At 52.5% G+C, this 14,185-nt stretch overlaps 2 annotated features.

Moving 5' to 3' along the window:
- Window positions 8,780-9,280: an enhancer, noted in NCBI's record as "H3K4me1 hESC enhancer chr20:48227493-48227993 (GRCh37/hg19 assembly coordinates)". NCBI's record gives its function as "activates a minimal SCP1, AML or CMV promoter by ChIP-STARR-seq in primed H9 embryonic stem cells {active_cell/tissue: H9 hESC(primed)}" and the evidence as "EXISTENCE:reporter gene assay evidence [ECO:0000049][PMID:30033119]".
- Window positions 8,935-9,054: a silencer, noted in NCBI's record as "silent region_12999". NCBI's record gives its function as "represses an Ori minimal core promoter by ATAC-STARR-seq in GM12878 lymphoblastoid cells {active_cell/tissue: GM12878}" and the evidence as "EXISTENCE:reporter gene assay evidence [ECO:0000049][PMID:35858748]".

Below are 14,185 nucleotides of genomic sequence, written 5' to 3'. Positions count from 1 at the left end.
TCCACTTCCTAATGCTTCAGTATGAATGACTTATCTTCTCACTTATCACTCACTGCACCCCCACTTTGGAATCAGTTCAGAACGCTTTGAATGTCCCAGAGGAGAGTTTGCTGTCTATTCCATAGGCAGTGGGCAGCCAAGTTAGGTTCTGGAGAAGGAGAGTGGCATGATTAAAGGTGTACTTTAGGTTTGTTTATCTGGTTGCATATCCATCCATCCATCCCCCATCCATCCATCTATCCCATCCATCCCATCCTCTCATCCATCCATCCATCCTATCTATCCATTACCCACTCATCCGTCCATCCATCCATCCATCCATCCCATCCATCCATCCATCCAGCCATCTATCCTATCCACTCATCCATCCATCCATCCAGCCATCTATCCTATCCACTCATCCATCCATCCATCCATCCATTCCATCCATCCATTTATCCATCCACCCATCCCATCTATCCATTACCCACCCATCCGTCCTTCCATCCATCCATCCCATCCATCCATCCATCCATCCATTCATCCACCCATCCATCCCATCCACTCATCCATCCATCCATCCATCCCATCCATCTATCCATCCATCCATGTCATCCACTCATCCATCCATTCATCTCATCCATTCATCCATCCCAACCATCCATCCCCCACCCACACATCCATTCATCCATCCATCCATCTCATCCATCCCACTCATTCATCCATCCATCCCATCCATCTCATTCATCCATCCATCCATCCATCGATCCAACTATCCATTCATCCATCCATCCATTCACCCTATCCATCCATCCCCCACCCACCCATTCATCCATCCACCTATTCATCCATCTATTCATCCATCCTATCCATCCCATTCATTCATCCCTCCTATCCATCTCATTCATTCATCCCTCCATTTCATCCATCCATTCATCCCATCCATCCATCCCATCTATCCATCCATCTCATCCATCCATCCCTCATCATCCATCTATCCATCCATCTCATCCACCCATCCATCATCCATCTATCCAACTACCCATTCCAGCTATTCATTACCCATCCACCCATCCATTCATCCATCGGTTCATCTCAACCATCCATTTATCACATCCATCCATTCATCCCATCCATCTATCATCCATCCATCCCATCCATCCCATCCATTCATTCATCCATCTCATCCATCCATCCATCCATCCAATATTTATTGAGCATTTTCTATGTGCCAGGCACTGTGCTGTGTGTACCTGGTTTCCATCTAATGCACTGAATAAGAAAGATATTAAATCCCTGCCTTCATGGGACCAACATTCTGGGGAAGAGAGGTGGATAGACAATAAACAAGTCAACAAGTAAGTGAGCTCCCGACATTGCTGAGTTATGAAGGGAATAAACAGGATGATAGGGTTGAGAGTGACCAGGGTGAAGGGTGAGGTCCTTCAATTAGATGATCAGGGAAGTGATCTCTGGAAAGGTGATGGTTGAGCTGGGCTTTAAAAGAAGAGAAAGAGGCAGTTATAGGAAGAGCAGAAGGAAGAGAGTTACAGACAGAAGAAACAGCAAGTGCAAAGGCCCCTAGGCAGGAAAGAACTTGGCTTGCTGGAGAACATGAAAGGAAGCCAATGTGGCTGAATAGGAAGGGAGGAGGGAAGGCTGGAGAAGAAGATGGGGCCTTGTAGGCCAATGTGAGGACTTGGGAGTCTTTGGAAAGGCAGCCAGAGGCCACTGGAAGGTTTCCAGCAGGCAAGTGACATGTTTTGATTTATGTTTCTGAAAGTTCCCCCGGCAGCATGGGAAGCAAATGTAGCAGCAAAAAAAAAAAAAAAAAAAAAAAAACCCCAAAAAGAAACAGCAAGGAGGTCAAGGGTGAGGACGGTAGCAGCCTGGACCAGGGTGGTGGCCATGGGGTTACAGAGAAATGGAAAACTCAGGACAAATTTTGGAGGTGGTGGGAGGGAAACAGAGGACTTGAGAATGATACGTCACTTTGATGCTTGAGCTACAGGGTGGTGTCACTGAGGAACAAAGACTGGAGAGTGCGGAGATAAGGAAGGAGGAATGAAATAAGTCTTTGTGGGGAACCAGGCTGTGTTTTTAGGATATTTCAAGTAGGTAACTCGACATTCAAGTCCAGAGCCCTGGAGAGAGATCAAGGATGCTGTTGGGAGTCTGAGATGTATCAGAACACATGTTTGTTTAAAGCCACTGAGTTGGAGCTGCCAGGGAGGAGGAGGAGAGGCAGGGCCCATGGAGCATCTAGTGTCAGGAATAGAGGCTGTTTCAAGAAGGATGTTTCGAGAAGGAGAGGGAGGTCAATAGTGTCAAACGTTGCTGAGAAGTGGCTCTGAGCACGGGATCCCACACTGGGACTTGGCAGCAAGGATCACAACACCAAGAGCCATTTGGTGACACAGGGGATGAAGGCCTGCTCAAGGGCACCGAGGAGAGGGTGGCGGTGAGGAGAGGGTGGCCGTGTAGAGAGGGTGGTGGTGTGGAGAGGGTGGGGTGTGGAGAGGGTGATGGTGTGGAGAGGGTGGGGTGTGGAGAGGGTGATGGTGTGGAGAGGGTGGGGTGTGGAGAGGGTGGGGTGTGGAGAGGGTGATGGTGTGGAGAGGGTGGGGTGTGGAGAGGGTGATGGTGTGGAGAGGGTGGGGTGTGGAGAGGGTGATGGTGTGGAGAGGGCGGGGTGTGGAGAGGGTGATGGTGTGGAGAGGGTGATGGTGTGGAGAGGGTGGGGTGTGGAGAGGGTGATGGTGTGGAGAGGGTGATGGTGTGGAGAGGGTGGGGTGTGGAGAGGGTGGGGTGAGGAGAGGGGGTGAGGTGAGGAGGGTGCAGGGTGAGGAGGGTGGCGGGGTGTGAAAGTGGGTGGGGGAGTATGCACAGCTTCCACCAGAAGTTCAGCCTTAGGTGGGACGGAGGACCAGGGTGCTTGTTGGAAGATGATGAGGGTCAAGAGAGTACACTGTGCGTTTTTTTGTTCTTGTTTTTGTTTTGTTTTGTTTGAGATGGAGTCTCACTCTCTTGCCCAGGCTGGAGCGCAATGACGAAATCTGGGCTCACTGCAACCTCTGCCTCCCAGGTTCAAGTGATTCTCCTGCCTCAGCCTCCCAAGTAGCTGGGACTATAGGCAGGCACCACCACACCCAGGTAATTTTTGTATTTTTAGTAGAGACAGGGTTTCGCTGTGTTGGCCAGGCTGGTCTTGAACTCCTGACCTCAGGTGATCTGCCCACCTCGGCCTCCCTAAGTGCTGGGGTTACAGGCATGAGCCACTGCGCCCGGCCACGTTGTATGTTTTTTTTTTTAACACAGGAGATCCCGGGAGGAAAAGAAACTGAGGCTGCACAAGACAGGCAACTGGGTTCCAGTAGTACCAATTGTGTGCTCACTCTCTGTGTGACCTTGGGCACGTTAGAGGGACATTCTGGGCCTCAGGTTTTACATCCCTAGAATGGGCTCCTCGGGTCCCAGGTGACTTACATGTTGAGGTGAGCTCGTCCTGGGTGGGAGAGGTCCCCAGGACAGGGCAAGCTCCAGCACAGAGCCAGCTTCTGTTTGCGATTGTCCCAGGCTGTCCCCAAGGAGGCCATCAGGCCCCACCAGTCTCACGTTACTGCACTGACAATCCTGCCTTGCTCTGAGGTTCACAATCAGACCTGGCTGGTCCCTTGAGGCTCAGTCCTGAATGCTGCACTTTGCTGGGGGGGTTGGGGGGGGATTAGAGCTTTAGAGTCTGAGGGGCTTCCAGGTCCAGGCAGAGGCTCTGGAATGACAAGGACTTGGATTTCACCCTGGCTCTGCCACTTCCTGGCTTGGGGACCTTGAGCAAGGACTTTACCTCTTTAGGTCTTAGTTTCCTCATCTGCAAAACAGGAATCACCATGCATCATGATCATCACCCGCTATTGAGAAGATTAAGTAAGAGAATAGCTGTAGAATGCCTAGCACATATTAAGTGCTCAATAAATGCTAGCTGGCTTGCCCTATCTATCTGTCTTGCTTATAGAAACCGAGTTCTGCTTAGGAGGCTCTCTCTTCTTGTGTCCTGTTACCTGGGTGGAGCCTGGGCCCCTGGGGCTCTGATGGGCAGCCTTGTCCTCCGCCACACCCACAAGAGTCTAGTCCTGTGGGGCCCACAGCCTTCCCCACTGTCTGCACTTACCTGTCCCGCCTTTCTGCCCTCCGGTCTAAACTCGGTATCAGCAATTGGCCAGGATTCTACCCAGCACAAAGGGAGGGGCACTGCGGCCTGGGGCTTGCACGAGACAGCAGGTGCACCGCAGGCCAGGGAGGGCAGGGGACTTGCCAGAGGCCACACAGCACAGGGAGGAGGGCAGATTTGGGGGTAGTTTGTCACTCTGGCTTCTGCAGGACATCCAGCTCATGTGGCAGTGGCTGTGCTTGGCAGCTGCTGGGCAGGGCACCAAGGACGGACCCTGGGGCGGCTCCTGGCTGCCGGAGGTTAGCTCTGGGCCAGGCCTGGTGACTCAGCAGACCTACTGATCAGGGCCTGGTCGTGTTCCCCACAGTCCCACGGTGTAGGTCCTTCATGCCTGCCAACACCCAGTGTCACCTAGAGGTCGTAGGGCAGAGCTTAGCAGATGGGGAGCAGTGCTGGCTCCAGCTGGCATTGTTCTATCCCCTCCAGCCCTGCAGATCCCACAGCCCAATGGGCTGAGGCTGAATCCTGGCACTGTCTCTACGTAGCTGTGTGACCTTAGGTAAATCATTCAATCTCTGAGCATCAGTTTCCTCATCCGTGAAATGGGGATAATAATGCCTATGCTCTTTGATAGGAGGATTTAAAATGCAACTGTCTGGGCATGGTGTCTCATGCCTGTAATCCAAGCACTTTGGGAGGCCAAGGCGGGAGGATCGCTTGAGTCCAGGAGTTTGAGACCAGCCCTGGCAACATGGCGAGACCCTGTCTCCACAAAAAATAAAAAAAATAGCCAGGCATGGTGGTGCGTGCCTGTAGTCCCAGCTACTCTGGAGGCTGAGGTAGGAGGATCGCTTGAGCCTGTGAGGTCGAGGCTGCAGTGAGCTGAGATTGCACCACTGCTCTCCAGCCTGGGTGACAGAGCAACACCTCGTCTGAAAAACAATGACGACAACAACAACAATAACAACAACAACAACAAACCAATCAAACAAACCCCCCCCCCCCCACACACACACACACACACACAACCACCAAACCCTCTGGAGGCTCCCACTGCACTTGGAAGAAAGCGCTATTCCCTACTCGCAAGGCCTTGAGAGGTCCAGCCGGCTCACCTCCGCGGGGCCTCCCCTCCCCGTTCTCCCTTTGTTTTCTCTACTCCAGCCTCTCTGGCCTCCTCACTGCTCCTCTGTCTCCCTGAGCTTGTTCCCACTCCGGACATTTACCTTTGCTGGTCCCTCTGTATCTAAGTCCCTGGAGGTACCCAGTGCTATGTGGGTGAAGGGCAAAATAAGGCCAGCTTTTAGTAGCCAGTTTCTCATTCACCCATTAATGCATTTCTTCATTTAAAATCATTTCCCTGAGCACCTACTATGTTGCAGGCCCCGAGGTAGGTGCTGGGGATGAAGCTGTGGAGTATCCTAGTTATATCAACTCTCAGGGTAAGAGGGGCTGACCCTTGACTACCAAACCTTCAGTGGCTCCCTATTGTCCCAGGCCAAAGTTCATACTTCCGATCTCAGAATGCTTGCTTTTCCTATGTGGGTCCAGGTGGCTGTGTTAGTAGCTCTCAGAGTCCCTGAGGCCATTGCCACTGCTGCCGAATTTTTTGTTTGTTTGTTTGTTTGTTTGTTTGTTTGTTTTGAGATGGAATCTCGCTCAGTCACCCAGGCTGGAGTACAGTGGCGCAATCTCGGCTCACTGCAAGCTCTGCCTCCCAGGTTCACACCATTCTCCTGCCTCAGCCTCCCGAGTAGCTGGGACTACAGGCGCCCGCCACCACGCCTGGCTAATTTTTATTGTATTTTTAGTAGACACGGGGTTTCACCGTGTTAGCCAGGATGGTCTCGATCTTCTGATCTCGTGATCTGCCCGTCTCGGCCTCCCAAAGTGCTGGGATTACAGGCGTGAGCCACCGTGCCCGGCCGCTGCTGAATTGTTTTACATTCTCAGGGTTTCTGCTCCTGCCGCCCCCGACCCTGGCACCTGGCTGCGCTCACACAAACATACAGGGGTTGCCTCCTATTCCTCCTGGCTCTTCCTGGCCTTGCTCACATCCACCTTCCCCCCAGAGCCTGGGTGAGTGTTGATGCTTTCTCAGTCCAACATCATTTATTTATTTTGAGACAGGGTCTGGCTCTGTCACCCAGGCTGGAGTGCAGTGGTGCAATCTCGGCTCACTGTAGCCTCAACCTCACAGGCTCAAGCGATCCTCCTACCTCAGCCTCCTTAGTAGCTGGGACTATAGGCACACACCACCATGCCTGGCCTGCGTCATCGTTTAAGGCCCTCAGCCTATCTGTCATTCTTTGTAGAAATATTCTCTCATCAGGACCTCACATCAACCCCATAGCCTAGTTAGGTTGATCTTATCCCTGTTTCACAGATGAGGAAACCAAGGCACAGAGAGGTCAAGTAACTTGCCCAAGGACACACAGCTAGTACAGGGGACTTGAGCCCAGCAAGCTGATCCCAGGTCTGCGTTCTTCACATTCCTGCTCTGCTATCTTCACTATTCAGCTGGGCTTTTCCAGAAATGCTTCCTGCTATCAGGCTGGGAACATGCCCTCATGCGTCCCCACTGCCCGCGGAGGGAGGCCCAGCTCCTGTTCGTTTATAGCCACTCTTTACCTGCTGGCTCTGCAGACCTCCTTCAGTCGGGAGGCCTGCGCTTTCCTTGGCCTGCTCTTCTGAGGCTGCCCTCCAAAGCCCTGGAACATTCTATAATCCCAGTGCTGGGCGCTTCACAGTCATTGCCCTGTGTAGGGCTCTCATTATCCCCATCTTACAGATGGAGGAACAGAGGCTTGGAAAAAGGAGATCATATCTGCCCCACACTGGAAAGCAGGAGACCTGTGGAACCCAGGTCTGTCTGACCAAACACCCCAGCCATGCTCACCTGACGGTCCTCATGCTTAGTGTCGTGATAGCCGACCATGAAAGTTGACTACTATGACCGACCACCACTACTGACCGCCACAGATGGCCACTCCAGCCAGCCACTATAGCTGACTGCTGGAACTGACCACCTGCTCTTAAACACCTGCTGAATCAGGCCTGGTTCCCACTACTCTACCCAGGCAGTCTCACACCATTGCTGGAAGGTTGCTTCTATTTTTCACCCCATTGTATTTATTTATTTATTTATTTAGACTGAGTGTTGCTCTGTTGCCCAGGCTGGAGTGCAGTTGCGTGATCTTCGCTCACTGCAGCCTCAACCTTGCTAGCTCAAGTGATTGTCCCACCTCAGCCTCCCGAGTAGCTGGGACTACAGGCGTGTGCCACCATGCCCAGCTAATTTTTGTATTTTTTGTAGAGACGAGGTTTCACCATGTTGCTCAGCTGGTCTCAAACTCCTGGACTCAAGCGATCTACCCACTTTGGCCTCCCAAAATGCTGGGATTACAGGTGTGAGCCACTGCACCCAGCTTTCACCCTGTGTTAGAGATGAGGGAACTTAGGGTCTGAGAGGGAGCATGACATGACCAAGGTCACTCTGCTAGCAGGGGGCAGGGCTAGACTTAGAACCAGGGCTGGGGGACTGCAAAAGCCTCACACAGCTGCCCTGCATGTCCCAGTGACCAGGCCACCTGCATTTTTGCCCCACCCCAGGGAAACTTGAGTCTCCTGAGAAGGTCTGGCTTTTCTATTGTCCCCACCCAAAGCTCCTTGGGAGTTGACAAGAGGGACCAGCCTTGGGCTTCCGGCTTGGGTGCCCTGGACTTTTCCCATGCAGCTGTCAATGGGCCTTTGTGTGTCCAGGCTGCCTGGCCCTTGTCCACACCACATGGCTTCCTGATGACTTGGGGCGCTCGGCCAGCAGCTGTGTGTGGCCTGGGGACCCATCACCCACTGGGCAGGACGCTCTAAATGCCTTAAGGCAGGGACTTGAGCAGCCCCTAGGCCTTCGCCCTGACTTTTCCCTCTGCCAGGAAAGACCTTTCTTCAAATTCTGCCATGATCGGCAGCTTCTATCCTTCAAGGCACAACTCAAATGCCACCACTTCAAAGAGGTGACCATCTGGCTCACTGGAAGTTGCACTCTAAGAGGGCAGGGGTTTGTCTGCTGGGTAGGGGAGACAGACAATAAAGAAGGCTAGGCAGAGTGGCATAATCCCAGCACTTTGGGAGGCAGAGGCAGGAGGATCACTTGAACCCAGAAGTTTGAGACTAGCCTGGGCAACATAGTGAGACCCTGTCTCTACTAAAAAAAAAAAAAAAAAAAAAAATAGCCGGGTGTGGTGGTGCACACCTGTGGTCCCAGCTACTTGGAGGCTGAGGTGGAAGGATCACTTGAACCCAGGAGGTTGAGGCTGCAGTGAGCCTAGATTGTGCCACTGCACTCCAGCTTGGGTGACAGAGCAAGACCTTGTCTCAAAGCAAAACCAAAAACAACAACAACAAAAACCCAAAAATGTAATAAGTTAACATTTCAACAAGATCCTTTCGGGTCATTGAATGGAGCGTGTCTAGGACAGGGTCTTTCTGAGGTGGTGACATCTGAACAGAAACCTGGATGAAAAGGAGAAACCCCCGTGAGCCCCTGCGGAGCCCAGACGCAGGCACACAGTAGGCGCTCAGTAAATGAATGTGGCTGCGCAGGCCATGGCTCTGACTGCCGTGGGGGCGACTTTCCCCTCCAGGGGGCGCCTGGCAATGTCTGGGGACAGTTTTGGCTGTCACACGGCGCGCGGGGGGAAGGAGGAATGCAACAGACTCCGAGTAGTCGGAGGCCAAGGGTGCGGCTAAGCGTCCTGCCCCGCACAGGTAGCCCGCGGGATGACCCGGTCCCCGCGCGTCCTGGGTGCGGCTCGGGCGCTCCCTGGCGGCTGCACGGGGCATTGCAGCAGTCCCCGAAGAGCCTGGCGATGGGAAAGGTCCGTCCCTGCAGCGCCCGCGTGGTGACACCAGCAGCAGCGTGATAACCGCACCGCGAGCGTGTACCTGTCAACACGAGGGTAAACCCAAACTCCACGTCCACACTGCCAGGCAACTCAGGGTGAATGCATCCGCAACCCACTCCTCATCTCCCGCAGAAACCTGCTCTGCCCACAGCCTTCTTAGCCTTAAGGGCAGCCAGCTCCACCCTCCCCAGAGGCTCAGGGAGTCATTCATCCCCGACTCCTCTCTGTCTGCCACCGACATGTCCCATCCACCAGCTAATCCTGTCTGTTCCACCTTCAGGATACATCCAGACTCTGTCTCCCCACTCCACTGCCCCGCCAAGCCCAGCCGCCATCCTGTGTGCGGTCACCTCCTCCCCGAGCTCGCAGCCTCCACCCTGGGTCCTAACACTCTGGCCTCCTGGTGGAGTGATTCTGCAAGGGCCTAAGTCAGGCCAGGCTCCTCCCCTGCTCAGAACCCTCCATGACTCCCAGCTCACTCACAATGAGAGCCAAGGTCCCTCAATGGCCCTCAAGGCCTAATTTAAAATTGAAACACACTCCAGCCCCACCCTCTCAGTCTTCTGTGCTGCCTTTTTTTTTTTTTTTTTTTTTTTTTTAAGACAGGGTCTCGCTCTGTCACCCAGGCTGGAGTGCAGTGGTGCGATCTCGGCTCACTGCAACCTCCACCTCCCAGGTTCAAGCGATTCTCGTGCCTCAACCTCCCGAGTACCTGAGAGGCACGCCACCACGCCCAGCTAATTTTTGTATTTTTAGTAAAGGCAGGGTTTCACCATGCTGGCCAGGCTGGTCTCAAACTCCTGACCTCAAGTGATTCACCAGCCTCGGCCTCCCAAAGTGCTGGGATTACAGGCGTGAGCCACCGCGCCCAGCCTTTTTGAGAAAGGGTCTCGCTGTGTCACCTGGACTGGAGTTCAGTGACACAATCACGGCTCACTGCAGCCTCGATCTCGACTAGGCTCAGGCAATCCTCCCACCTCAGTCTCCCAAGTAGGTGGGACTACAGGCATGAGCCACCATGCCCAGCTAATTTTTTGTGTTTTTAGTAGAGACAGGGTCTGTACTATGCTATGTTGCCCAGGCTGGTTCCAAACTCCTGGGATCAGGTGATCCTCCCGCCTCAGCCTCCCAAAGTGCTGGGATTACAGGTGTGAGCCACCGTGCACAGCTTTTACTCTATTTTTATATACAGCAAGAATCACCAAGTGCCATATATTTTACTTATTTGTCTTGCTTATTGCCCATCCTCTCTTTGTGAACAGCTGCTGGGGGCAGGGATGGGCTGTGTCTTTCTGGTCACTGGCATCTCTCCAGCACTCAGCACTGTGTCTGGCACTCAGTAGGTGCTCAACGAATATTTGTTGAATGAATGGATGGGTGGGTGGATGGACGGATGGGGATGGATGGATAGATGGATGGATGGTTGGATAGATGGATGGGTAGGTGGATGGATGGGTGGATGGATGGATCTGCCAATAGCAGCATAGCGGTTTAAGAGCACAAATCCCAGCCTCACATTAGAACTTTGGGGGTTCTGGTTCCACCTCCACCACCTACAAGCTGTGCAAGCTTGGATGGGCTAGATGACCTCTCTGGCCCTCAGCTTCCCAACAGGAATAAAAAGAACACCCACCTTGTGTTCTGACAGCATTAAACCCCTTAATCCATGTAAATCCACAGCTGAGCCTGGGCTCAGGCACACAGTAGGTGCTTAGTAAACATATGCAGATGGACAGATGCCAGGGCAGTGGTTCTGACTGCTCTGGGGTAAGCAGTAGGTGCTGCATAGGGACAAGTGTCTTACTTTAGTCACTGTTCCCAGCCTACCTCCTCCCCTCTCCACTCGCTAAACCCCTGAAGGGTAGGGATCATGTCTCAGTCATCTTTCTTTGCACATAGTAGGTGCTCATTAAGTGCTGGCATTGAGAGGAGGACACTGATGTTGGAGGAGTGCCTCCTGTTTGCCCTGCAAACTGAGAGGCAGATTCTCCTACCCCACCTTACAGGTGAAGAAACCGAGGCTCAGGGACCCCTGAGAGCAGAGGGAAGGGACGTCATTCTGCAGAGTGACCAGCAGGGGGCGAGCGGGACTGCTCTGTGGCTCCGAGGACCCAGCGGCAGGTGCACTGCTCTGAGAGTGAACGCTGCCTTACATTTTGCACGGTAGGCACCTCGCTTTTCTCACCTTAGTACCAGCCCTGGTCGGAAGGGCCCTGTCACACCAGGACACGCCTTTCTTCTGCCTTGCATCGAGCGCTTATGCTCTCCCAGGCGCTGTGCTAAGGGCTTCCCACATATATTAGCTCATGTGGTCTTCATGACAGCAGATGTGCGGCAGGTCCTGTTACTGCCCCCTTTCTGCAGAGGTGATAGCTGAGTCCAGGAGAGGTCACTAGCCAGAGGTAATGCCGTTCCACCATTGCATGTTGCATGTACGAAGGCAGATCTCATGCCTTCGGATCACATGCCATGATTGTGTAAAAACATGTGTGTGGACTCGTTTGCAGAGGGGTGCATGTACCTGCATGAAAGAAGGGAAGCAGACATTTGTGACCAAGAAGGTGGACAGTGGCAGAGCACAAGAGTTTGTCTAAGTTATTACATCCATGACCTTTCCATGTCAGAGAAGCGGGGAGCTGGGGGAGCCCAGAAAGGCAGAGCTTGGCTCAGCCTCAGGGGATGCTCCTGGGGCAGAGGGGGAAGCCCACCTGATTTTTCAGGGAGGAATCATGGTTACCAGATGGAAGCAAGAGGACATTTCGGGCTGGAGGAACAAAGTGTACAAAGGCCCAGGGGCTGTTCAGGGAACCCCAATGGCTGAGTCTGGCTAAATTGGAGTGAAAGGGAGGAGGGAGGCAGGATGAGGCAGACATATGGCGGAGCTTGATTCACTGAGACTTAGAGGTGAACGCAGACCATGGGGTCAGATGCAGGGCACGTAGGACACTGTGAAGTCCCAGAAAACAGTCTTCTACCTCCTGCGGGAATTTCAAAGGGCTATCAATGTTCCCCTCTTCCAGATGGGCAAGCTGAGGCTCGGAGAGGTGGGACAACTTGCCCAGGTGTCCTGTACATGGCAGGTTGGGATTTGAACCTACTCTGGGAACTTCTGCACTTTGCTGCTTTTTGAGAAAACACCATGAACTCAGAACAATTCCATGAATTCTGACCAAATGAATGAATGTATGGGTGGGTGGGTGGATGGATGGATGGGTGGGTGGATGGATGGATGGATGGATGGATGGACGGACAGATGGATGGGTGGATAGATGGATCTGCCAATAGCAGCACAGTGGTTTAAGAGCACAAATCCCAGTCTCACATTAGAACTTTGTGGGTTCTAGTTCCACCTCCACCACCTACAAGCTGTGCAACCTTGGATGGGCTAGATGACCTCTCTGGGCCTCAGCTTCCCAACAGGAATAAAAATAGCACCCACCTTGTGTTCTGACAGAATTAAATGCAACCCATGTGCCTGGTACTGGGCTGAGTGTCTTCTCAGCATTGTTTTATTGAATTCTCAGAGATCATCATAGGAAGGAGGTGTTATTATTTTCCTTTCTTTTACAGGTAAAGCACCATGACTCAGAGAAGGCAAGTGACTTGCCTAAAATCACAGGGCCCACAGAGTCACAGCCAGAATGCAAGCCTGGGCCCTCAGATCTGGAGTATGCCCTCTTCACCATGGCTCCAGGCACCAAAACTCCAGGTAGCTTTGGATTTTGTGCTATCTGTGTTTTATTTTCCTTAATATATATTTTAAACGGACTTTCTGCCCACATTTTTCTTTAAACCTGTTTCTGCAGAGGAAACTTTATATCATTAGCAAACATGGAAAACCTATATCATTTATCATGAAAACAGTTATGAAAATAAGGCTGGGTGCCAGGCACGATGGCTCACACCTGTAATCCCAGCACTTTGGGAGGCTGAGGTGGGCAGATAACAAGGTCAGTAGTTCGAGACCAGCCTGGCCAACATAGTGAAACCCCAACTCTACTAAAAATATAAAAATTAGCCAGCTATGGTGGCGCATGCCTGTAGTCCCAGCTACTTGGGAGGCTGAGGCAGAAGAATCGCTTGAACCCAGAAGGCGGAGGTTGTGGTGAGCCGAGATCATGCCACTGCACTCCAGCCTGGGCAACAGAGTGAGCTTCCGTCTAAAAAAAAAAAAAAGGAAATAAGAAAATAAGGCTGGACATGGCGGCTCACGCCTGTAATCTCAGCGCTTTGGGAGGTCAAGGCAGGCAGATCACCTGAGGTCAGAAGTTCAAGACTGCCTGGCCAATATGGTGAAACCTTGTCCCTACTAAAAATACAAAAATTAGCCAGGCATGGTGGTGCACACCTGTAATCTCAGCTACTAAGGAGGCTGAGGCAGGAGAATCACTTGAACCCAGGAGGCGGAGGTTGCAGGTTGAGCTGAGATGGTGCCACTGCACTCAAGCCAGGGTGACAGAGTGAGACTCTGTCTCAAAAAAAAAATTATGAAAATAAGTACAAGAAGTGCTAAAAAATATCATGATATTCTTGCCAGATGCTCTTGCTTGCACAGTCAGGAGTCAGGGGCCTGTGAGAACTTTGTTAGAAAGAAGAGAGTTCGGCGGCTCAAGCCTGTAATCCCAGCACTTTGGGAGGCCGAGGTGGGCGGATCACGAGGTCAGGAGATCAAGACCATCCTGGCCAACATGGTGAAACCCCGTCTCTACTAAAAATACAAAAATTAGCTGGGTGTGGTGGCGGGCACCTGTAATCCCAGCTACTCAGGAGGCTGAGGCAGGAGAATCGCTTGAACCAGGGAGTCAGAGGTTACAGTGAGCTGAGATGGCACCATTGCACTCCAGCCTGGCCACAGAGCGAGACTCCGTCTCAAAAAAAAAAAAAAAAAAAGGAAAGAAAGAAGAGAATTAGCGAGGTGATGGGGAGATGTTAGCGGCAGGGATTTTTTTTTTTTCTTGAAATGCTCAGAGCAGCTGCAAGAGAATCCCCATAGGAAGAACTTCTGCTCTGTGATTTCATGCCCTGTGGGACCTAGAATAACCCACAGACCTCGAGTGTGGCAGCAGCTGGGCAGGCCACTCAACCCCAGGTCGGATCCTTCTCAGCTCGCCTGGGGCTGTCCCAGGCCCTGCAA

Source organism: Homo sapiens, chromosome 20 (genome assembly GCF_000001405.40).
Source record: "Homo sapiens chromosome 20, GRCh38.p14 Primary Assembly".
NCBI lineage: Eukaryota > Metazoa > Chordata > Mammalia > Primates > Hominidae > Homo > Homo sapiens.
The sequence above is the reverse complement of the archived record's forward strand: the minus strand, read 5'-3'. Positions and strand labels throughout refer to the sequence as shown.